Genomic DNA, 25,864 nt, shown 5'->3' on the forward strand with positions numbered 1-25,864 from the left:
CAGAGCACACTTTCAGCTGTGAAACTGACTGACATTCTTCAACTACCACCCCCACCCAATGGTTGTAGGGATAGTTGCCATTTCAAAGTCAAAGCAAGCCAACAAAACAATAAAACTAAAACCAAACAAAAAAATAAGGAGGAAAAATATAAGAGAAAAAGCTTTCTCTTTATTTTTGAAAGAGGAAGGATAGTAAAGAAATTGCTCAAGGGGAGAAGAGAGTTGTATGTAGAAGCAGTACATTTCAATTATCTTTGCTTGTATTTTTCTAGTCATATAAAAGCTGTCCTAATTCAAATCCACTGAATAAACAAGTCAAAGTAGTATGTAGAGAGAAGCTGATGTTTCACAATTTCTACATTAAGAGCTGTCTCAATCTAGCCTCTGTTTGAGCTCTATGGGAAAAAAATTCTCTCCTCATGTAAAAACTATAATATCATTTGCAAATGAAGCTCCTGAAATTTGCAAATGTCAATACGGATTTCAGTGACCTAAAAATATAATGACATTTGGTTTAAGACCATACAAATACATAAATTACTTTTAAATATTTTTCCCATTCTGCCCTCCAAAGTAAAGGGTGAAAACATTCCTTATTACTTAAAAAAAAAAAAAAAAAAAAAAAAAAAGTTTTTGTGGAACCTGCTACATTTTATTATCAGGCCTTGGCAGCCACACTTCAACTTTTTACAGGTAACTCGCTGGACCCTCACAGTGACTCTTCAAATGAGGTTTTGCACTAGACCCATTTCACAGTTGAGGAAAACAAGACAAGTCACATAACTAATCAGTGAGAGTCATAACTTGAACCAGATCTCCTGACCATCAAACCCAGTATTTGTGTCTTTTCCAACCCTACAGCTTATCTTAGAGAAAAGAGCACAAGCTTTGTTGTCAAATGGACCTAGATTTAAAACCTGGTTCTTTCCCTTAATACGCATGTGACATTGGACAAGTTATTTCAATTCTCTGAGTTTGTTTCCTCATCTGCAAAAGGAGGGAAATCATACTTATTTTAGAGAAATGTAATAATTAAATGTTAAAACACTTGTAAAATACCTAGTAGAGCACCAAGTAACTGTTCAGTAAATGGTAGCTATTATTACATGTTGGCTTCAACAGCTTACATCTTGAATACTAGATTAGTTTGAACAAATGACAATCACTTTCATTCATAAATTAGTTCCACAGACATCATAAAATCTGTCTTCAACATGGGGGAAAAAGGAAAGGAGAAAACTAGGGTAACACTGATTCTTTGATACTTGTTCATTTTTCTCACTCTTACAGGGTTGCACTGTTTTATTTATCTAAAGAGACAATTTCTTCTAAGTGAAGTTACGTTTACTTTATTCTCCTATCCCTTTATGGTAGTCTTGAATCTAAAACCTTTAAAATACTTATCTCTGAGTTACCTTATTCACATATATATGATTATTTTGGTAGAAGAGAAAGAGCCATTTTATTTTACTTTTGCTGTAAAGAAAATATAAACTAACCAACCTTAATTTCCAAACAAGCCACTAAAAAGAAACCTCACATGAATAGCTGTTGAATCAATATTGTTTTCTTAAGAGCAAATAATAATTGAGCATCTATACAAAGTATTTTTGTCCTTTCATTACTGAAGCAGAGCATCACAACTAAATTTCTCACCCAATTCTACATATGTACAGTTAATTTCCAAGGCAGAAAAAATAGCATAAAATTGACTTGACGAATATAGATGCAATTTCTGAAATAAGTCCATGAGGTAGAGCTTTTTCAAGCCACAAAAATCCGGCTCTACTAAAAAATCAACTATTTCTATAAAAGGATTACGGAGGAAAATAATGCTGGCTCCCTGTGAAAGGAAAATAAATCTTGGGACCCCAAACTCACTAAGCCCAAGGGAAAAGTCAAGCTGGGAACTGGGTCATGCAGATCTGCTTCTCATTTGGTTGCTAAATAAGATGGCTATGAAGATAAAAAGCAACATACCTCCCTCACAATTTGCCCACAAGGAAATTCCTTATATATATAGCTTATCTTCACAGGTGCTGGACAAAGGAAAGAGAACTCAAAGTCACCCTTCTGCTCACCTAAGACAAATGAGTATCTGATTGCTTCCTCCACCCTATTGTCTACACTATCTTATGTAAAAATGCAGATTCACTGAGCCAGATGAAGGTATGAGTGGCTATTTCCTCTATCTACCCAGACTCATATGAAAATTGTGTATTCAGTGAAGGCTGATCAAAGATTCAAAAGGATGCAACCCTTTTGTCTTTTTATCTATCAACACAGTTTTTAAAGATTTTTCTTCCCTCAACATCTGCCCTTTCCCTTTCAAATACTGAAGCCCTCAAAAGCATCTTTGGAGAAAGGCACAGACCTGCCTCCCAGGCACATGTCCTTAATGTTGGCAAATAAACCTAATATGATTAAGACTTGCCTCTGTCATTTTCTTTCATTTGTATTTCAAACATTTTCAGAGTGTCATATCCACAGTGAGAAGTCAATAAGGGATTATTGCATTGCGGCCACTCCAATTCACTCCAACCTCCTACCACCAAATCTAAATGATGCCCCTATTATTCTTTAGTAGTACTCCCCTTTTGCCTTTCATAGTACAGTTTATAATATAAAATTTGAGCATGTTTAATGTCTATACCCCCTAGGGTCCAAGGGCAGGGGTCATAGTCTGTTTTATTGTTCACCTCGATACCCAGGAACTAGAAAAGAACATAACCTCAATCAGTTTTACAACTGCTTTCTAATTATATTATAATTTCTATATTTCTTGAGAAGTGACAATTATTGACAAGTTTTAGGGTATCCCACTTGAGTGCCACAACATAGCCAACAATGACATGTAGGAAAACGGATGCCAATACAATGTCAAGTCAATGCTGAAGAAAAAGTGAGCACAAAAAGCCCCTACTCCACTTTCCCCACCACTACTACCTACCCTACCTTACAAAGCCCTGAAGGAGGAAATTCTAACTCTCCCTTAAAAGTGAAGAAGCTGGCTGGGGGCGGTGGCGGTGGCTCACACCTGTAATCCCAGCACTTTGGCCAATGGGTAAATCACTTGAGATCAGGAGTTTGAGACCAGGCTGGCCAACATGGTGAAATCCCGTCTGTACTAAAAATACAAATTTTAGCCAGGCGTGGTGGCACATGCTTGTAATCCTAGCTACTGGGGAGGCTGAGGCAGGAGAATTGCTTGAACCCAAGAGACAGAGGTTGCAGTGAGCTGAGATGGCGTCACTGCACTCCAGCTTGGGCCATAGAGCGAGACTCCGTCTAAAAAAAAAAGTGAAGAAGCTACAAAAAATCCTGATAATCTTCAGTAGCACAATAGAGATTTCAAGCTACACTTTGAAATGACTGTTGGCCATAGCTCTACAGCTCCCAAGAAATCTATTGGGATGAATTTTCTTTATACATTCCTATATGGTCTCATTTCGTTTTGTAGCTTTTGTCAAATATTTATTTGTAAAAAAAAAATTAATTTTTTATTGTTCTTTCACTATTAGTACTACAGCATACTATTACTAAATAATATTCTCAAATGTGAAAAGAATGAGTAAATACACAGAGGTGATGGTGAGATACTATTATGGCATATTTTCACTACATCAATTCACTTCATTTCATCCTTTCACTCATACTCTCCTTCATCTGTCATGAAACTTTCTCTCTTAAGTCCCCCAGACAGAACATAAAAAACGATAATGAGTCTCTTGGGAGTGGTATGTGGGAAGGATAACACATATTTTTCATTTTTCATGTATACAGATGTGCCTTGACTTATGATATAACATCCTGATGTACCCACAATAAGTTAAAAATATCATAAATCAAAAATGCATTTAATATACTTAGCCTACCTAACACCATAGCTTAGCCTAGCCTACCTTAAACATGTAAGCATACCTTACGTTGGACTACAGTTGGACAAAATCATCAGGCAACACTGTAGAGTATCAGCTACTTACCCTCAAGATCACATGGCTGCCTGGAAGCTGTGACTGGCTGTCACTACCCAGCATCACAGGAGAGTATCCTATCGCATACTGTTTGCCCAAGATCAAATTTTAAAATTTGAGATATGAGTTCTACTGAATGAGTATGGCTTCTGTACCATCATAAAGTTGAAAAACTGTAAGTTAAACCATCAGAAGTTGGGGACAATCTATATTGATGGTCTATTGGGAGTGGTATATGGGAAGGATGACATGTATATCTTACATGTATGTATGCATATATGCTTGTAATATATAGATATATACGTTGCTTGAATTCTTATGACAAGCATATGTATATTTTTATAATTACAGAAAAAAAGGTTTTTTTCAAACCAATAAACAAAAAACAACTACAGAGACAAAGATAATTGGTCATTTTTCTTTATCACAATTCCTAAATAGTCACAACTCCTACCTAGAAAAAAAAAATTCATTTGTCAGGCCAAAGAGAAATCTAGTCCAGGGACTGACAGACATATAACAATGACATCATCAATTCTTAATCTAAGATAATACTATTTAGATGAATATGCTTACTTGGTGAAATTATTAAAACATACCAATGTTTTCACCTTTTAGGAATAATATGGTTATTATATAAGATTTAAAAATCAACAACTGTATTTATGACAATTATTTGGACCCATGACATAAATTCACCAAACACTTGGTATAATGAGATTTAAAGACCCCAAATATTAAGTATTCTCTTTTTAATAATGACTAAGAAAAACTGAATCTAAATGAATTGTTAGCATATATATGAAGGTAGTATATAACAGAACATGAAGACTGATATGAAAAAAATATAAAGCCAAATGACATAAATGATCAGAAAAAAGGATCAGTTGAGGTCATGTAAATGAACAATTATTGGTAGAAGTAGATTTTGTTCAAGTATAAACTTCTGTGCTTACTACACCTCCATTTAACAACTTCGAGTTTAAAGTAAATGCCAATCTCTACATTTAAGAATTGCAAATTGCTCTTTTAAATCACATCTATTCTTTAAATTTCACGTGTCCGCAGCTCATTAATATTTACAGCAATTGTAGGCCTCTGAAAAAAACTAGAGATTTTACATTTACTGAGACAGATAGCTGGCACACAAAAATAGAGCTCCCTCAATTACAATATAGCAGAAGTTAACTTTAGTTTAAAATATGTCTGCAGAAATTTATGGCAACACAACAATGAAGTGACTATTTTGAATAAGATTAGCTGCTCTTGATAATGACAGACACTGTTTATAAATCAACAGAGGTTGTACTTGATATTTATAGCGGGGCACTTCAGAATCATCAACCAATATCACTTGAATAGAATATACATGCAAACAATAGCAAAAGATTACAAGTACTAAGATGATCTTCACAAAGTCATGAATGTAATACACGCACATAAAAAAGTCAAAGTGTATTTTTGTTTGCTGTTAGTCTTACAGTTTTTGTCTCATTTAATATTCAATGTTTCCAAGTAAGAAATATTTAATGAAAATTAGGAAGATAGCCCTACTCAGCAGTTTTATCAGGATGAAATTACATTTCTTGAGTTCAGGTTACTATTCTACTAGCTACCTAACTAAGTAAGTCTTCCTGAAAAAAAAAAAAAAAAAAGTAAATTTCACCTAATTCCTTACTGTAACATTCAGTTTTATTGAGGCACAGAAGTTATACAAGTTCAATAAGTCAAACTGACTTTGTGACAGTTGTTTAAATTAGAGAAAAAGAAAAAGATCAGTAAAGTAGTATAGCCATTATGGAAAACAGTATGGAGGGTCCTCAAAAAACTACAAGTACAACTAGCATATGATCCAGCAATCCCACTACTGGGAATATATTCAAAAAAAAAAAAAAAAAAAAGAGGAAATCAGTATATCAAAGAACTGCAGCACTACTCACAACAGCGAAGATATGGAATCAACTTTAATGTACATTAATGGTTAAATGGATAAAGAAATATTGTATATATACACAATGGAATATTATTCAGCCTGAAAAAGAATTAAGTCCTGTCATTTTCAGCAACATGGGTGGAACTGGAGGTCATTATGTTTAGTGAAATAAGCCAAGCACAAAAAGACAAATATCTCATGTTCTCACTCATATGTCGGAGCTAAAACAGTGGATGTCATGGTGGTAGAGAGTAGAATGATAGTTAACAGAGGCTGGGAAGGAAAGGGGAGCAGAGGGCATGAAGTAAAGTTGGTAAATGGGTATAAAAATACAGGTAGATATAATAAGTTCTGGTATTTGATAGCATAGTAGGGAAATTACAGTTTAAAATAATTATGTATTTCAAAATAGCTAAAAGAGAAGAATTTTAATGTTTCCAACAAAAAGACAAATGTTTAGATGATATATTTCCCAATTAGCTTGACTTGATCATTACACATTGTATACATGTATGAAAATATCACGTATACCCCAAAAATATATACAACTATGGTGTATCAATTGTTTAAAAATACAAATAAATAAGAAAAATATCATAAGTCCATTTTACAAACACAAAAATGTGATAAAGATGTGGGACAATGCCCCTTTTTTAAATATTGGACAGTTATAAATAGAAACGACATGCATATATGAATGTTTACATTTTGTTCATAACAAGAAATCAGGAACAGCTTAATATGCAACAGTAGAGAAATGGCTAAATAAATCATGACATGTTCATCTGCAAAAAAAAAAAAATACTATACTGCCAGTATTAGGGAGTTCTTGCATTGCTATACAGAAATATCTGAGGCTGGGTAATTTATAAAGAAAAGAGGTTTAGTTGGCTCAAGGTTCTGCAGACAGGACAAAAAGTGAGGTGCCAACATCCGCTTCTGGAAAGGGTCTTAGGAAGCTAACAATCACGGCAGAAGGTGAAGGGAAAGCAGGCACCATGCATGATGAGAGTGGAAGCAAAAGAACAAGGGGGAGGTGCCACACACTTTTAAACAACCAGAACTCACGTGAACTGAGTGAGAACTAACTTATCATCAAGGGGATGGTGCTAAATCATTCACGAGGGATGCACTCCCATGATCCAAACATCTCCCACCAGGCCCCACCTACTAAACTAGGGATTACATTTCAACATGAAATTTGGAGGGGACAAATATCCGAGCCACATCACAGCCCATTACAATCAATTGAAAAACAATTTTTTCAAAAAAAAAAGTTGTTGTTAAAGTGTTGTTTAAAAAAACAACAACAACAAGTACATCTTCTGTAAGAAAACTGCATGCAATTAAGCCAGCCCCATGGTGTAATGGTCAACACCCTGGACTCTGAAAATTGCATGCAATTACAAGCAAAGACCACTACCTCTCTACCGAATCTCCCATCTCCCACAGGTGGATATAGACATATGGCAATCAAGCTAGCGATGAGTTTTATAACTCCATAAAACTGTATGTGGATTATGACTAGTTTTTGTCCAGGAACTATGAGCAAAGATGATATATGCCACTCCAGGTCCAGGACTTAAAAGAACAAAAGTCTATCCACTCTCTATCTCCTCTCTGAAAGCTGGAACCTGGGCAAACCTGTGACCCGTTTTAGACTGTGCTAACAAAGAAAACCCTAGGGGGTGGTAAAGAAAATGAGATAAAAGGAACCAGAGTGCTCATGGACTCTTCACATTTGTTTTAACCACAAAATATTTTCAGTTATTGTTTTCAAGCCATTGTGTCTGGGTCTTTTTTTTTTACAGCTTCTTATTCTTTCATTCTAACTAATGTAGTACAACATAGAAAAATGCCATAACTGTTCCAAGATGGCCGAATAGGAACACCTCTGGTCTGCAGCTCCCAGTGTGATCAACGCAGAAGACAGGTGATTTCTGCATTTCCAACTGAGGTACCTGATTCATCTCACTGGGATGGGTTGGACAGCGGGTGCAGCCCACAGAGGGAGAGCTGAACCAGGGCGGGGTGTCGCATCACCTGGGAAGCACAAGGGGTCGGGGTATTTCCCTTTCCTAACCAAGGGAGAACTGCGAGGAGGCAGCCTGGCTGGGGGAGGGGCGTCGCCATTGCTGAAGCATGAGTAGGTAAACAAAGTGGCCAGGAAGCTTGAACTGGGCGGAGCTGACCACAACTCAGCAAGGCCTACTGCCTCTAGACTCCAACTCTGTGGGAAGGGCTTAGCTGAACAAAAGGCAGCAGACAACTTCTGCAGACTTAAACATCCCTGTCTGACAGCTCTGAAGAGAGCAGTCGTTCTCCCAACATGGGGTTTGAGCTCTGAGAACGAACAGACTGCCTCCTTAAGTGGGTCCCTGACCCCCGTGTAGCCTAACTGGGAGACATCTCCCAGTAGGGGCCGACAGACACCTCATATAGGCAGGTGCTCCTCTGGGACAAACCTTACAGAGGAAAGACCAGGCAGCAATATTTGTTGTTCTACAATAATTGCTGTTGTGCAGCCTCCGCTGGTGATACCCAGGCATACAGGGTCTGGAGTGGACCTCCAGCAAACTCCAACAGACCTCCAGCTAAGGGACCTGACTGTTAGAAGGAAAACTGACAAACAGAAAGGAATAGCACCAACATCAACAAAAAGGACATTTACACCAAAACCCCATCTGTAGGTCACCAACATCTAAGACCAAAGGTAGATAAAACCACAAAGATGGGGAGAAAGCAGGGAGAAAAGCTGAAAATTCTAAAAATAACAGTGCCTCTTCTCCTCCAAAGGACTGCAGCTCCTCGCCAGCAATGGAACAAAGCTGGACGGAGAATGATTTTGACGAGTTGACAGAAGTAGGCTTCAGAAGGTCGGTAATAACAAACTTCTCCCAGCTAAAGGAGCATGTTCGAACCCATCGCAAAGAAGCTAAAAACCTTGAAAACAGGTTAGATGAATGGCTAACTAGAATAAACAGTGTAGAGAAGACCTTAAATGACCTGACGGAGCTGCAAACCATGACACGAGAACTTCATGACGCATGCACAAGCTTCAATAACCGATTTGATCAAATGGAAGAAAGGGTATCAGTGACTGAAGATCAAATTAATAAAATAAAGCAAGAAGACAAGGTTAGAGAAAAAAGAGTAAAAAGAAACGAACAAAGCCTCCAAGAAATATGGGGCTATGTGAAAAGACCAAATCTACGTTTGACTGCTGTATCTGAAAGTGATGGGGAGAATGGAAACAAGTTGGAAAACGCTCTTGAGGATATTATCCAGGAGAACTTCCCCAACCTAGAAAGACAGGCCAACATTCAAATTCAGGAAATACAGAGAATGCCACAAAGATAATCCTCAAGAAGAAAAACCCCAAGACATACAATTGTCAGATTCACCAAGGTTGAAATGAAAGAAAAAATGTTAAGGGCAGCCAGAGAGAAAGGTCAAGTTACCCACAAAGGGAAGCCCATCAGACTAACAGCGGATCTCTCGGCACAAACCTTACAAGCCAGAAGAGAGTGGGGGCCAATATTCAACATTCTTAAACGAAAGAATTTTCAAACCAGAATTTCATATCCAGCCAAAGTAACCTTCATAAATGCAGGAGAAATAAAATCCTTTACAGACAAGCAAATGCTGAGAGATTTTGTCACCACCAGGCCTGCCTTACAAGAGCTCCTGAAAGAAGCACTAAACATGGAAAGAAACAACCGGTACCAGCCACTGCAAAAACATGCCAAATTGTAAAGACCATCGATACTATAAAGAAACTGCAACAATTAACGGGCAAAATAACCAGCGAACATCATAATGACAGGATCAAATTCACACATAACAATATTAACCTCAAATGTAAATGGGCTAAATGCCCCAATTAAAAGACACAGACTGGCAAATTGGATAGAGTCAAGACCCATCAGTGTGCTGTATTCAGAAGACCAATCTCACAGGCAAAGACGCACATAGACTCAAAATAAAAGGATGGAGGAAGATCTACCAAGTAAATGGAAAGCATAAAAAAAAGCAGGGTTTGCAATTCTAGTCTCTGATAAAACAGACTTTGAACCAACAAAGATCAAAAGAGACAAAGAAGGCCATTACATAACGGTAAAGGGATCAATTCAACAAGAAGAGCTAACTATCCTAAATATATATGCACCAAACACAGGAGGACCCAGATGTATAAAGCAAGTCCTTAGAGACCTACAAAGAGACTTAGACTCCCACACAATAATAATGGGAGACTTTAACACCCCACTGTCAACATTAGACAGATCAACGAGACAGAAGGTTAACAAGGATATCCAGGAATTGAACTCAGCTCCGCATCAAGGAGACCTAATAGACATCTAAAGAACTCTCCACCCAAAGTCAACAGAATATACATTCTTCTCAGCATCACATCGCACTTATTCCAAAATTGACCACATAATTGGAAGTAAAGCACTCCTCAGCAAATGTAAAAGAACAGAAATCACAACAAACTGTCTCTCAGACCACAGTGCAATCAAACTAGGACTCAGGATTTAAAAACTCACTCAAAACTGCATAACCACATGGAAACTGAACAACTTGCTCCTGAATGACTACTGGGTACATAACAAAATGAAGGCAGAAACAAACATGTTCTTTGAAACCAATGAGAACAAAGACACAACATACCAGAATCTCTGGGACACATTCAAAGCAGTGTGCAGAAGGAAATTTATAGCACTAAATGCCCACAAGAGAAAGCAGGAAAGATCTAAAATTGACACCCTAACATCACAATTTAAATAACTAGAGAAGCAAGAGCAAACATGTTCGAAAGCTAGCAGAAGGCAAGAAATAACTGAGATCAGAGCAGAACTGAAAGAGACAGATCCACAAAAAACCCTTCAAAAAAATCAATGAATCCAGGGGCTGGTTTTTTGAAAAGATCAACAAAATTGATAGAGAGCTAGAAAGACTAATAAAGAAGAAGAAAGAAGAATCAAATAGACGCAATAAAAACTGATAAAGGGGATATCACCACCAATCCCAGAGAAATACAAACTACCTTCAGAGAATACTATAAACACCTCTACGCAAATAAATTAGAAAATCTAGAAGAAATGGATAAATTCCTCGACACATACACTCTCTCAAGACTAAACCGGGAAGAAGTTGAATCTCTGAATAGACCAATAACAGGCTCTGAAATTGAGGCAATAATTAATAGTCTACCAACCAAAAAATGTCCAGGACCAGATGGATTCACAGCCGAATTCTACCAGAGGTACAAAGAGGAGCTGGTAGCAATCCTTCTGAAACTATTCCAATCAATAGAAAAAGATGGAATCCTCCCTAACTCATTTTGTGAGGCCAACATCATCCTGATACCAAAGCCTGGCAGAGACACAACAAGAAAAGAGAATATTAAACCAATATCCCTGATGAACATCGATGAAAAAATCCTCAATAAAATACTGGGAAACCGAATACACCAGCACATCAAAAAGCTTATCCACCACGATCAGGTCGGCTTCATTCCTGGGATGCAAGGCTGGTTCAACATACGCAAATCAATAAATGTAATCCAGCATATAAACAGGACCAACGACAAAAACCACATGATTATCTCAAGAGGTGCAGAAAAGGCCTTTGACAAAATTTAACAGCCCTTCATGCTAAAAACTCTCAATAAACTAGGTATTGATGGAACGATCTCAAAATAATAAGAGCTATTTATGACAAACCCACAGCCAGTGTCATACTGAACGGGCACAAACTGGAAGCATTCCCTTTGAAAACAGGCACAAGACAAAGATGCCCTCTCTCACCATGCCTATTCAACACAGTGCTGGATGTTCTGGTCAGGGCAATCAGGTAAGTGAAAGAAATAAAGGGTATTTAATTAGGAAAAGAAGAAGTCAAATTGTCCCTGTTTGCAGATGATGTGATTGTATATTTAGAAAACCCCATCTTCTCAGCCCAAAATCTCCTTAAGCTGATAAGCAACTTCAGCAAAGTCTCAGGATACAAAATCAATGTGCAAAAATCACAAGCATTCCTATACACCAATAACAGACAGAGAGCCAAATCATGAGTGAACTCCCATTCATAATTGCTACAAAGAGAATAAAATACCTAGGAATACAACTTACAAGGGATGTGAAAGACCTCTTCAAAGAGAACAACAAACCACTGCTCAAGGAAATAAAAGAGGACACAAACAAATGGAAGAACATTCCATTCGCATGGATAGGAATAATCAATATCATAAAAATGGCCATACTGCCCAAGGTAATTTATAGATTCAATGCCATCCCCATCAAGCTACCAATGACTTTCTTCACAGAATTGGAAAAAAGTACTTTAAAGTTCATATGGAACCAAAAAAGAGCCCACTTTGCCAAGTCAATCCTAAGCCAAAAGAACAAACCTGGAGGCATCACGCTACCTGACTTCAAACTATACTACAAGGCTACAGTAACCAAAACAGCATGGCACTGGTACCAAAACAGAGATATAAACCAATGGAACAGAACAGAGCCCTCAGAAATAATGCCACATATCTACAACTATCTGATCTTTGATAAACCTGACAAAAACAAGAAATGGGGAAAGCATTCCCTATTTAATAAATGGTGCTGGGAAAACTGGATAGCCATATGGAGAAAGCTGAAACTGGATCCCTTCCTTACGCCTTATACAAAAATTAATTCAAGATGGATTAAAGACTTACATGTTAGACCTAAAACCATAAAAACCCTAAAAGAAAACCTAGGCAATACCATTCAAGACATAGGCATGGGCAAGGACTTCATGTCTAAAACACCAAAAGCAATGGCAACAAAAGCCAAAATTGACAAATGGGATCTAATTAAACTAAAGAGCTTCTGCACAGCAAAAGAAACTACCATCAGAGTGAACAGGCAACCTACAGAATGGGAGAAAATTTTTGCAATCTACCCATCTGACAAAGGGCTAATATCCAGAATCTACAAAGAACTCAAACAGATTTACAAGAAAAAAACAACCCCATCAAAAAGTGGGCAAAGGATATTAGTAGACACTTCTCAAAAGAAGACATCTATGCAGCCAATAAATACATGAAAAAATGCTCATCATCACTGGTCATCTGAGAAATACAAATCAAAACCACAATGAGGTACCAACTCATACCAGTTAGAATGGCAATCATTAAAAAGTCAGGAAACAACAGAAGCTGGAGAGGATGTGGAGAAACAGGAACGCTTTTACACAGTTGATGGGAGTATAAACTAGTTCAACCATTGTGGAAGTTGGTGTGGCAATTCCTCAGGGATCTAGAACTAGAAATACCATTTGACCCAGCCATCCCATTACTGGGTATATACCCAAAGGATTATAAATCATGCTACTATAAAGACACATGCACACGTATGTTTATTGTGGCACTATTCACAATAGCAAAGACTTGGAACCCACCCAAATGTCCAACAATGACAGACTGGATTAAGAAAATGTGGCACATATACACCATGGAATACTATGCAGCCATAAAAAAGGATGAGTTCATGTCCTTTGTAGGGACATAGATGAAGCTGGAAACCATCATTCTCAGCAAACTATCACAAGGACAGAAAACCAAACATGACATGTTCTCACTCATAGGTGGGAACTGAACAATGAGATCACTTGGACACAGGGCGAGGAATATCACACACCGGGGCCTGTCGGCAGGTGGGGGGCTGGGGGAAGAATAGCATTAGGAGAAATACCTAATGTAAATGATGAGTTGATGGGGGCAGCACACCAACATGGCACATGTATACCCTATGTATCAAACCTGCACGTTGTGTACATGTACCCTAGAACTTAAAGTATAATAAAAAAAACTGCCATGACACATGTTCATGGCACCTATATTTTAAAAAGTGATAGCAGTATGCTTTTTATTGTTGTCTTCATGATCTTGTATACATGTATTATTTTGCAATAAACTTTAAAAGTAGTATTTTAATAAATTTTAAAATATGAATCATTATTTAATTATTCTCTGATCCTTACTTCGCTGTCTTCCCTTAATAAACAGCTATTGTACAGTTAAATATACAATATATGCGTTTATATGGGCTAAAAAAATTTTCTAGTGGAGGGTCAGCAAACATTTTCCATAAAGGATGAGATAGTAAATATTTTAAGCCATATGGTCTCTGTTGGAACTAGTCAACACTGCCATTGTCTAACAAAAGCAGACAGAGGCAATACAAAAATGAATGGACATGTCTGTTTTCCGAAAAACTTTATTCACAAAAGCAACTGTACTGTGGGCCACAGTTTGCCAACCCTTTCAGAACATAGTCCTTATTGTACTATTTTTATAGTTTAGATTGTTTTAAAATATTAAAGAAAATATCAAGTAGCATTCATTCTCCATGAATGGAAAAATCTTTAAAAATTGAAAAGGTGAAAAGCAAATCAAACGAGTTCTGTGAAAACTTTCATATACTAATCCTCATAGAAATGAACAGTAAGCTTTCTTCAACACTACCCTATTACCAAATAGCATTTGTGAAGTGTCTACCCTCATATGGTGCTCTGCCAAGTAACAAAGGTAAGGAAGGTCCTTCATATGACAAGATGATGCCAGGATATGTGCTAACTGCTGTTGTTCTAGATGTGATGGTGAATTGAAAGGGTTAATTTATTTATTGAATCTCCCATATGGTCAATGATATACATCTGGCAAGATGGCCAGGGTTACAAATTCTGACCATGATCATGGAACAATGTAAGTTTCTGGTCCCACCAGTCATATACTATTATATTGAGTCATACATCCAGAAAGTATTTACTGAGTACCTACTATGTGCCAACCATCTCAGAGCAGACAAAGTGTACACTAACACAAGGCTTCCAACATTTCCTTCAAAGCAGCTCTCATGGCTTAAGGGAAAGCTTATGCTAGGGGAAGCCAGGAGAGAGCTTACAGTCGTCCTATATAAACACAAAATGTTTAATTTTCATGGGTCATCCTAACAAAAAAATCTGGTATATTTTGCATCTTATTCCACTGTATATCCATGTTTTAAATAATATTCTTAAATGTATTCTATTTAATTGAAAGTATCAACACAGATTTATGGTTTTTAGTGTTTCAGATCTTGGTTTCTAAATATCACTCTCAAATACATAGAGGCAAGGCTCTTGTAGAAATACCTAATGTAAACCTCTTTCATAGAGGTAAGTGGTTGATTCTATAGCAAGAGCAAGAAAAATATCAGCATAGGAAAACACCACAGTGTATCATGGGGAAGATGATCTGAGACTATTAACAACTAAATGCAAGGTAGTATCCTGGACCAGATCCTGGAACAGAATAACATTTTTTTAAAAATCCATCAATAATAATAATTTTAAAGTCCATCAATGATAGACTGGATAAAGAAAATGTGGCACATATACAACATGGAATACTATGCAGCCATAAAAAGGATGAGTTCATTTCCTTTGCAGGGACATGGATGAAGCTGGAAACCATCATTCTCAGCAAACTATTATAAGGACAGAAAACCAAACACTGCATGTTCTCACTCATAAGTGGGAGTTGAACAATGAGAACACATGGACACAGGGAGGGGAACATCACACACCGGGGCCTGTAGAGGGGTGGGGGGGTAGGGGGGTGGGGGGGGCTGGAGGAGGGATAGTGTTAGGAGAAATACCTAATGTAAATGATGAGTTGATGGGTGCAGCAAACCAACATGGCACATGTATACCTATGTAACAAACCTGCATGTTGCGCACATGTACCCTAGAACTTAAAGGATAATTAAAAAAAAAAAAAAGAAAGAAAAAAATTGGTGAAATTCAAATAAGGTCTGTAGTTAATAGTATTCTACCAATATTAATTCCTGAGTTTTTATAATTATACTATGGATATATAAGATATTAGCATTAGGGAAAGTAAAATTAAATATATTCAAAAACTATCTATACCAATTTCACAACTTTTCTGTAAGTCTAAACTTAGACCAATAAAAACTTTAATGTTTTCAATTTAATAAAACGTATATACCAGGCAGATGCTCCAGTGTTTATCCTGTGGCTTTATATTCCACCACCACCCCACCAAGTGCCAGAATACGACTACAGTTTCTTAGAAGCATGCTTCTAGCCTATTCAAAAGCAGAACTTAATTGAGGAATATCCAAAAATATAAGGTGATGATGTATTTTGTCTATAAATTATAATTAGAGTAATACAAATCATCAACAGCAAAGTTAGTGTGGTATATTTCAAAGAATGCTGGAATAGGAACAAGAAGATCTTAGTTTTGGCACCAGTCCTGCTGTGATCTGTCCATTTGACACTGGGCTCACCTCAACTTTCTCATCAACAGATGACTTCCATCTGAACTACCATAAATTTATAAATCTACAGATGATCAGCAAGGGATCAATGCTTCCTTTATACTAGGCAACTGTACTAGGCAATTGTAAATTACTACCAACAGCACAGTGGCTTGGCACATATACATATTCTTAAACTTTATTCATTTATCAAAGGTTTATTGAGGGATTGTTATATTCCAGGCACTCTTAGGCACTGAGGATATATAGACATATAAGACATGATCCCCCATCTTTAAGAGTCTAATAGGGCCAACAGATCTATAAACAATAATACAGTATGAAAAATGTTATATTACAAAAACATGCATGGTACTTGAAAGCACAAAGAGAAAAATTGATACTACCGGGATTATCAAATAAGCCATCACTAGAAAGCAGTATTTTAGATGGGTCCTGAAGGAGGAGAAAGAATTGTTCACGTACAATGGGGACCAGCATAAAAAAGGCATAAAGGTATGAGAGAATATATATTCAGACAGCAAGGTGCATGGTGTCATGCTGCTGAAGCATGACTGTAGAAGGAGGGGAAATTTTCCTGAGAAGCATATATAACTGTAAACTTGGAGCACAAGTAAATATAGTGCTCTAATTTATACTACTCACATACAACAGGAACCCTCAATTCTAGAAATAAACACAAACATTGCTTTGGCCCAAGGTGGTAGACAATGGCTCCCCAAAGATGCTCAAGTCCTAATACCCAGAAGCTATGAATATATTATCTTATATGGCAAAAAGGATTTTGTTAATGCAATTAAGGATCTTCACACGGGAAGATTATCCTGGATTATCCAGGTAGGCCCTAATGTAATCACAAAGTTCCTTAAAATGGGGAGGCAAAAAATTCAAAGGCAGAAGAAGGAGATGGAATGAGAAGCAGAGTCTGAAGTGATGCACTCTGAAGTTGGAGGAAGGGCCATGAGCCAAAGGATTCAGGTGACCTCTAGAAACTGGAAAAGATAAGGAAACCGATTTTCCCCTGGAACCTCCAAAACTAATGCAGCACCGCCTACACCTTGACTTCGTCCCCGTAAGACTCATTTTGAACTTCTGACCTACAGAACTGTAAAAGAATAAGTCTGTATTGGTTTTAGCCACTACAATTGTGGTAATTTATAACAGCAGTAATAGGAAACTAAGACCACTAGTAATAGCAGTAAGTGATGAGGCAAAAGGAAATGCAAAACCACTCGGCAGAAACATAGGGATCCTCCAGGCAAAGTGCCACTTAAGAGAAATTCAAAATTCAACATTTCAGGGGGAAAAGGAAGGAAAAATACTGACCCTAAAGCTGGAGAGAAAATAACAAATCATATTAAACCCTCCAAAAACATTATATATGAGGAAAGTGAAAATCGCCTGGTGGCAATTGAACAGGCCCTGGAGACAAAAACTCATTATCTGAGGAATTTAAAAGGGAGCAAAGACCACCTGGTGGCCATCAAACAGGCCATTTGGAGGATAAACTCCTTATCTAGGGAATTTAGAAATAATTAAACTTCCCTGGTATATAAAGTTGACATCTGATTCCAGGCCTCTTTCAACTTTTATAAGTAACTAAAATTTCTATACATCTCTGGAATGCCATGTTGAAACTCATTTTACAACCCTAAGCTCCCACTTTAAGGTCCATAAATAGCCCTAAGGAAAAAGCCAAGGCTGAATGCTCAGTCCTCTCATTGAGGCACCCCGCTGGAACCTTTTGCAGAGTTCTTCCTAATAAACTCCTTTTTCAAACCTATACTGTTGTTGGCAAATTCTTTTTACCAACCCAGAAGTTGACCACTTCCCAGTGCCAGGGCTCTGATACCTCACCTGGCAATATAATAGAAATATGTGAAAGAGGCTACTGATAGTGGCAGGAGGCAGACAAAGGCCTAGGCAGACAGTGGCAGGTCTACAGTGAAACCCCACCTCCAAGCTGAAGACAGTTTAAAGCCTGAAAGCCAAGCTAGAAGTCAAATCCACAGATCGGATTGAAAACCTGTGTTCCTGTCTGGCATGCTTTCTCTGACTGATCCCCACCCTTCACCTATTTTACTTATATCTACCCTTTCCTAATTGCTTTTCTACACTGCTATGCCCAACTTTGAGTGGTGCCTTTGCTTTAGCCTTTCTTTGCATACTCAGCAATCAGCACACACTCCCCTATTCTGAGCCCATAAAAAACCCCGGACACAGCCATACTGACAGAGAGAGAGAAACCACCTGGAGTCCCCTTTCCTCTTCCATCGCTCAATAAAATTCTTCTCTGCCCATCCAGACCCTTCTAATTGTCAGTGTATCCTCATTCTTCCTGAACACAGGAAAAGAGCTCGGGGAACCACCAAACTCGAGTACAATCTGCAACACAGGCTGAGTGGGCGGGTCACCTCCAGTGGAAGGCCCAGGACCAGGTGAGGTCCAGGCGTGGGGATGTTGCTGGCTGTGGAGGTCCCTGGTTGGCAAAGTGGCCAAGAAAAATCCTGCGTCACTATAAAACAAGTATGCTTTACATGTTTTAAAACAATGAAATAGGCCAGGGACGGTGGCTCATGCCTGTAATCCCAGCAATTTGGGTGGCCGAGACAGGCGGATCATGAGGTCAGGAGTTTTGAGACCACCCTGGCCAAGATGTTTTGAAACCCCGTCTCTACTAAAAATACAAAAATTAGCTAGGCATGGTGGCATGTGCCTGTAGTCCCAGCTACTCGGGAGGCTGAGGCAGGAGAACTGCCTGAACCCGGGAGGCAGAGGTTGCAGTGAGCCGAGATTGTGCCACTGCACTCCAGCCTGGCAATGGAACAAGACTTCGTCTCAAAAAAAAAAAAGAAAAGAAAAACAATGTAATAAATTGAAACACAAAGAACATGACAGCTTTAAAAAACATAACCAAACAGAACTTCTAGAAGCCATTGAGATAAAAATGATAGCTAAGTTAAAATCAGACACATCTTAAGGAAGAAGGGGAGAACCGGCAAAGAGGTCTGCAAGCAATGTTTATAAAGGGCCAGAGAGTAAATATTTTAGGCTTTGCAGGCCACACAGCCTCTGTTGCAGTTACTGAATTCTGCCTTTGTAGTGTGAAACCTGCCATAGTTAATGTGTAAATATGCGTTCCAATAAGATTTTACTTACAAAACCAAGTGGCCAGTGGGCCATAGTTTGCAAACTCAAAACCAGAAGATAAAGCTGAGGAAATTACTCAGAATACAGCATCGAAAAGAAAAAGACAAGAAATGGGAAAGAGATGTTATGAGGAATAAAAGAATGAGAAGATCCAATATATTTCTAAGAATTTCCAAAAGGAAGAATAAGAGACAGGCAACATTAAAAAAACTATATCGGCACTTTCCTCCCAATAAAAGGCATAAAATATCTGATTTCAAGTGGCAAAACAAGTCCTGAGCAGGATAAATAAAAACAAAGCCCAAATCTAGACAGCTAAGAGCAAGACTGCCTGACTATAAACACAAACAAGAGAATGTTAAAGTTACCAGAAGGAAAAGAGAATTCATCTACAAAAGAATGACAGACTAACAGCAGACTTCTCAAAAGCAATAAAAGAAGCCAGAGGACAAAGTGCTGATGGAAAACACTATGAATTACAGAACTAACTAAACTGTAATTTGAAACTGAAGGTGAAATCAAGACACTGCCAGGACCAGGCGAGGCCCAGGCAGTGGGGGTGTCCCCGGCTGTGGAGGTCTCTGGTTGGCAAAGTGGCCAAGAAAAATCCTGCATCACTATATAACAAGTATGCTTTACATGTTTTAAAACAATGAAATAGGCCAGGCACGGTGGCTCACACCTGTAATTGCAGCACTTTGTGTGGCCAAGGCGGGCGGATCACAAAGACAGAGTGTGAAACAACAGACTCAGGGTGAAAGAACTTCAGGAAGCAGGACATTAGTGCCAGAATGAAGAGCAAGCAAAGAAACTGGTACAAAAAGGCAAATCTAGATAAGCATTGACTTACAAAATCAAACATAATAACAATAAGGATTAAAAAAATAAGGATTATAAAGTCAAAGTGTCACCAAAATGCTACATAACAAAAAACATGAGAGGGGTGGGCCTTGCATTGCTTGAGAAAACACTTTGATTAGCTTAGAAGTTCAGTTTCAATATATACATGAAAAAGTTATTTTTTTTTTTATTCTAAAGGAATAGAAACTTCTTCATGTGTCACTCTGATGTGGTTTGACAGTGTCCCCACTCAAATCTCATCTTGAATTCCCATGTGTTGTGGGAGGGACCCGGTGGGAGGTAACTGAATCATGGGGGCGGGTTTTACCCGTGCTGTCCTTGTGATAGTGAATAATCTCACAAGATCTGATGGTTTTATCAGGGGTTTCCGCTTTTGTATCTTCCTCATTTTCTCTTGCTGCTGCCATGTAAGAAGTGCCTTTCACCTCCCACCATGATTTTGAGGCCTCCCCAGCCATGTGGAACTGTAAGTCCAATTAAACATCTTTTTCATCTCAATCTCGGGTATGACTTTATCAGTAGCGTGAAAACAGACCGATACAGTAAATTGGTACCAGTAGAGTGGGGTGTTGCTGAAAGATACTCGAAAATGTGGAAGTGACTTTGGAACAGGGTAACAGGCAGAGGTTGGAACAGTTTGGAGGGCTCAGAAAAAGACAGGAAAATGTGGGAAAGTTTGGAACTTCTTAGAGATTTGTTGAATGACTTTGATCAAAAGCCTGATAGTGATATGGACAATAAGGTCTGGGCGGAGGTGGCCTCAGATGGAGATGAGGAACTTGTTGGGAACTGGAACAAAAGTGACTCTTGTTATGTTTTAGCAAAGAGACTGGTGGCATTTTGCCCATGCCCTAGAGATCTGTGGAACTTTGAACTTGAGAAACATGATTTAGGGTATCTGGAAGAAGAAATGTCTAAGCGGCAAAGCATTCAAGAGGTGACTTGGGGCCGGGCGGGGTGGCTCACGCCTGTAATCCCAGCACTTTGGGAGGCCAAGGCAGGTGGATCACCTCAGGTCAGGAGTTTGAGGCCAGCCTGGCCAACATGGTGAAACCCCGTCTCTACTGAAAATACAAAAATTGGCCAGGCATGGTGGCGGGCACCTCTAATCCTATCTACTCAGGAGGCTAAGGCACAAGAACCACTTGAACCCGAGAGGCAGAGTTTGCAGTGAGCCGAGATCGCACCACTGCACTCTGGCCTAGGAGACACAGTGAGCCTTTGTCTCAAAAAATAAAAATTAAAAAAAAGGTGACTCACGTGCCGTTAAAGGCATTCAGTTTTATAAGGGAAGCAGGGCATAAAAGTTCAGAAAATTTGCAGCCTGACAATGTGATAGAAAAAAAAAAATTCTGAAGAAAAACTCAAGCCAGCTGCAGGAATTTGCATAAGTAACTAGGAGCCCAATGTTAATCCCCAAGACAATGGGGAAAATGTCTCCAGGGCATGTAGGAAGTCTTCACAGCAGCCCCACCCATCACAGGCCTGCAGGCCTAGGAGAAAATGGTTTCTTGGGCCAAGCCGGGGATCCCCCAGCTGTATGCAGCCTAGGGGCTTGGTGCCCTGAGCCCCAGCAGCTCCAGCCTTGGCTGAAAGGGGCCAATGTAAAGCTCAGGCCGTGGCTTCAGAGGGTGCAAGCCCAAAGCCTTGGCAGCTTCCACATGTTGCTGAGCCTGCAAGTGTACAGAAGTCAAAAATTGGGGTTTAGGAACCTCCACCTATATTTCAGAGGATGTATGGAAATGCCGGGATACCCAGACAGAAGTTTTCTGCAGGGGCGGGGTGCTCATGGAGAACCTCTGCTAGGGCAGTGCAGAGGGGAAATGTGGGGTCAGAGCCCCCACACAGAGTCCCTACTGGGGTACTGCCTAGTGGAGCTGTGAGAAGAGGGCCACTGTCCTCCAGACCCTAGAATGGTAGATCCACGGACAGCTTGCACGTTCACCTGGAAAAGCTGCAGACACTCAACACCAGCTCATAAAAGCAGCCAGGAGGGAGGCTGTACCCTGCAGAGTTACAGGGGCGGAGCTGCCCAAGACCATGGAAACCCAACTCTTGCATCAGGGTGACCTGGATGTCAAAGGACCTGGAGTCAAAGGAGATCATTCTGGAGCTTTAAAATTTGACTGCTCCACTAGATTTCGGACTTGCATGGGCCCTATAGCCATTTTGCTATGGCACATTTCTCCCATTTGGAATGGCTTTATTTACACAATACCTGTACCCCTATTGTATCTAGGAAGTAACTAGCTTGCTTTTGATTTTACAGGCTCATAGGTAGAAGGGACTTGCCTTGTCTCAGATGAGACTTTGCACTGTGGACTTTTGGATTAATGCTGAAATGAGTTAAGACTTTGGGAGACTGTTGGGAAGGCATGACTGCTTTTGAAATGGGAAGACATGAGATTTGGAGGGGCCAAGGGCGGAATGATATGGTTTGGCTCTGTGTCCCCACCCAAATCTCATCTTGAATTGTATTCCCATAATTCCTATATGTTGTGGGAGGGACCCAGTGGGAAATAATTTGAATTATGGGGATGGTTTCCCCCATACTGTTCTCATGGTAGTGAATAAGTCTCACGAGATCTGATGGTTTTAGCAGGCGTTTCCACTTTTGCATCTTCCTCATTTTCTCCTGCTGCCACCATATAAGAAGTGCATTTTGCCTCCCGCCATGATTCTGAGGCTTCCCCTGCCATGCGGAACTGTAAGTCCAATTAAACCTCTTTTTCTTCCCAGTCTCAGGTATGTCTTTATCAGCAGTGTGAAAACAGACTAATACAACAAGGAAACCTAATGTCATTACATTAACATCACACAAAATAGTCTTTAAAGAAAAAAGCTACGAAAAAGCTAGAAAAAAGAAAAAATCTAGGCAAATGGAGTAATTACACAAGGATATCACAATTCTAAACCTGTATGCCCCTATCTATACTCAGAACATATAAAGCAAAAATTGGAATTGCAAGGAAAAATAAGAATTCCACAATCAGGATAGGAGATTTTAATATACTCTTCAATTAATAGATAACATAAATTTCAAACAATAACATTAACAAATTTGATCTAACATATAAAGCTCTAACAATTAGAGAAAACACAACAAGCCACATGAAGCCATATACTTCCAAACCATGAAGCAATTCTAAAAAATGCCAAATAATTGATGTCATGCAGAGCTCATTCTCTGACAATAGTGTAATTAAATTGGAAACCATTTATGAAAAGAAAAACTAAAGTTAAAAATGTATTTGGTTAGAAGGCATAAAGAACTCAAAACCCAACAGTAAAACAAACAATCCAATTAGAAAACAGTCAAAATACATTAAGACATTTTATCATAAAAGATATACAGATGGCAAATAACCACGTGAAAAATGTTCAAGATCATTAGCCAGTAAGAAAATGTGAATTAAAATAAGGAGATATCACTACACACCTATCAGAATTACCAAAAATACAAAAAAAGGTGACAACATCAAATTCTGGCAAAGATGCAGAGGAATTGGATCACTCATACACTGTTAATGGGAAATAGTATAGGAACTCTGCAAAATAGCTTGGCAATTTCTTAAAAAGCTAAATATATATAATTACCATATGACCCAGCAATTGTACTCCTAGAAATTTATCCCAGAGAAATAAAAACTTACATTCACACACACCAAAACAACTATATAAATGTTCCCATAGCAATTTTATCTGTAATAACCAAAAAATAGAATCACTCCAGGTACCCTTCAACAGAGGAATACTTATACAAACTGTGATACATACATAATAGGAAATATCATTCAGCAATAAAAATAAATGAACTACTGATACATGCAACAACCTGGATGGATCTCTGGGGAAACAGGCTGAGTGAAAAAGGCCAATGCCAAAAGTTTACAAACTGTACAGTTCTATACATGAAATGACAAAATAATAGAGATGAAAAACAGACTAGTGGTCACTGGGGTTAGGAACTGAAGGCAGGGGAGTGGCAGAGGAGGGAGGTAGATACAGTTATAAAAAGGCAACATGAGAGATCCTTGATGTTAACTGCTCAGTATCTTATAATTTTTCTATACCAAATCTAACATACACATTATAAATACATATTTTTCTGTAACTTACGTCTCTGGAGAATGTATAAAAGGTAACAGTAGCTGCTTCTGGGAGGTGGGACAGGGGACAGAGTGGGTGGGGTGCAGGCAGGAAGAGGAGGCACACTTGAACTTTTTTACTTTGTGTCATTTGCATGTTCTGTCATGAGTGTTGGAATTTAAAAGTCAATAAAGATGTTGAAATTTAAAAATATATTTCGAAATTTAAAACAATAACCTCTAAATAACCAATAGAGCAAAGAAGAAATCATAACAGCTATTAGAAAATACATAGAACTCATGGGAGAGAACTAATGTGGTCCTTAAGGGAAACCATATAGTCATAAATGATTATATTAAGCAAAAAAGAAGGCTTAAAAATAAAGAGCTAAGAATTTAATTCAAAAAGTTAGAAAAAGCACAAGAGGGATTCCAAGCCAAAGAAAGGAAATAAAGATAAAAGTACATATTAAAGATAACACTGAAGGAGTCAACAAAGCTAAAGCTGGTTATTTGAAAAGTCTAATAAAACAAACAAATATCTGGCAAGAGAGATCAAGGAGAAAGAAACAGAGAAGAGGCATAAATAATATTAACAATGAAAAAATGTCCAGAGGCTGGTCCAAGTGCAGTGGTATTTACAACTAATTGATCATAATCAGTTACAGATTTATTTGTTCCTTCTCCTTTTCAACTCCCACTGCTTCACTTGACTAGCCTAAAAAAATAAAATAAAAAATGAGTGCATAGTTACAGCAATAGCACAGTATAGTAAGCAAGAAAGAGAATATAAATGATGCAGTTAGAAATGGGGAAAAGGCCAAAAATTGGGGTAGTAGTAGAAACAGAAAGATCAATAAGGAGGTTATCAGAGTAGTCCAATGGCAATGACGGTGAGGAAGAGTGGAGACAGAGAAAACAGATTTAAACTGTTTTTGGAAGTAGAGGTGACAGGATATGCTGAAGCATGAAATATGAGTTTGAAGGAAAGACAGATGAGATTAAAGATAATTATTAAAGACAAAAATCAGTACTTCCTACCTCAGCATACAAGGTCCTCAGAATGATTCCAGTTTAATTCTTCTAATTTCAACTCTCATGAACCCAATTCACTTAGCTTACCTTCCAGTCCTACTAAAATTCTCACCATTCACCTAGCATCCCACGCTCTTTCAGTATGTTCCCTCTTTCTGAAATGCTCCAATTCCTCATTAAATCCCAATCATCTTTCAAGACTCAGCTGAAATGTCACCTCTGTGAAGCTTTCCACAAATCTCACAGGCATAATTAGTCACGCCTTTAATCTGGCTTCCTACTATTCTTATCTAATAGTAGCAGTAGTATTAGTACCTGTTGAGCATCTCAAATTAGAAAATCCGAAATCTGAAATGCTTCAAAATCTAAAACCTTTTGAGTGCCAATATGATGCTCAAAAGAAATGCTCCTTGGAGCATTTCAGATTTTCAGATTAGAGACATGCAGCTAGTAAGTATACTGCAAATATTACATATATATATATATACATAGCAA

At 38.3% G+C, this 25,864-nt stretch overlaps 1 protein-coding gene across 9 annotated transcripts in view, besides 2 other annotated features; it reads right to left on the minus strand.

The window, feature by feature from the left end:
• The window catches only part of CHM (CHM Rab escort protein), a 186,379-nt gene that overhangs the window by 133,479 nt on the left and 27,036 nt on the right, over positions 1–25,864 (minus strand). The gene's annotated exons all lie outside the window — the stretch shown is intronic.
• Positions 7,868–8,378: an enhancer, noted in NCBI's record as "NANOG-H3K27ac hESC enhancer chrX:85257530-85258040 (GRCh37/hg19 assembly coordinates)". NCBI's record gives its function as "activates a minimal SCP1, AML or CMV promoter by ChIP-STARR-seq in naive and primed H9 embryonic stem cells {active_cell/tissue: H9 hESC(naive and primed)}" and the evidence as "EXISTENCE:reporter gene assay evidence [ECO:0000049][PMID:30033119]".
• Positions 20,748–21,670: an enhancer, noted in NCBI's record as "NANOG-H3K27ac-H3K4me1 hESC enhancer chrX:85270410-85271332 (GRCh37/hg19 assembly coordinates)". NCBI's record gives its function as "activates a minimal SCP1, AML or CMV promoter by ChIP-STARR-seq in primed H9 embryonic stem cells {active_cell/tissue: H9 hESC(primed)}" and the evidence as "EXISTENCE:reporter gene assay evidence [ECO:0000049][PMID:30033119]".

Source organism: Homo sapiens, chromosome X, assembly GCF_000001405.40.
Source record: "Homo sapiens chromosome X, GRCh38.p14 Primary Assembly".
NCBI lineage: Eukaryota > Metazoa > Chordata > Mammalia > Primates > Hominidae > Homo > Homo sapiens.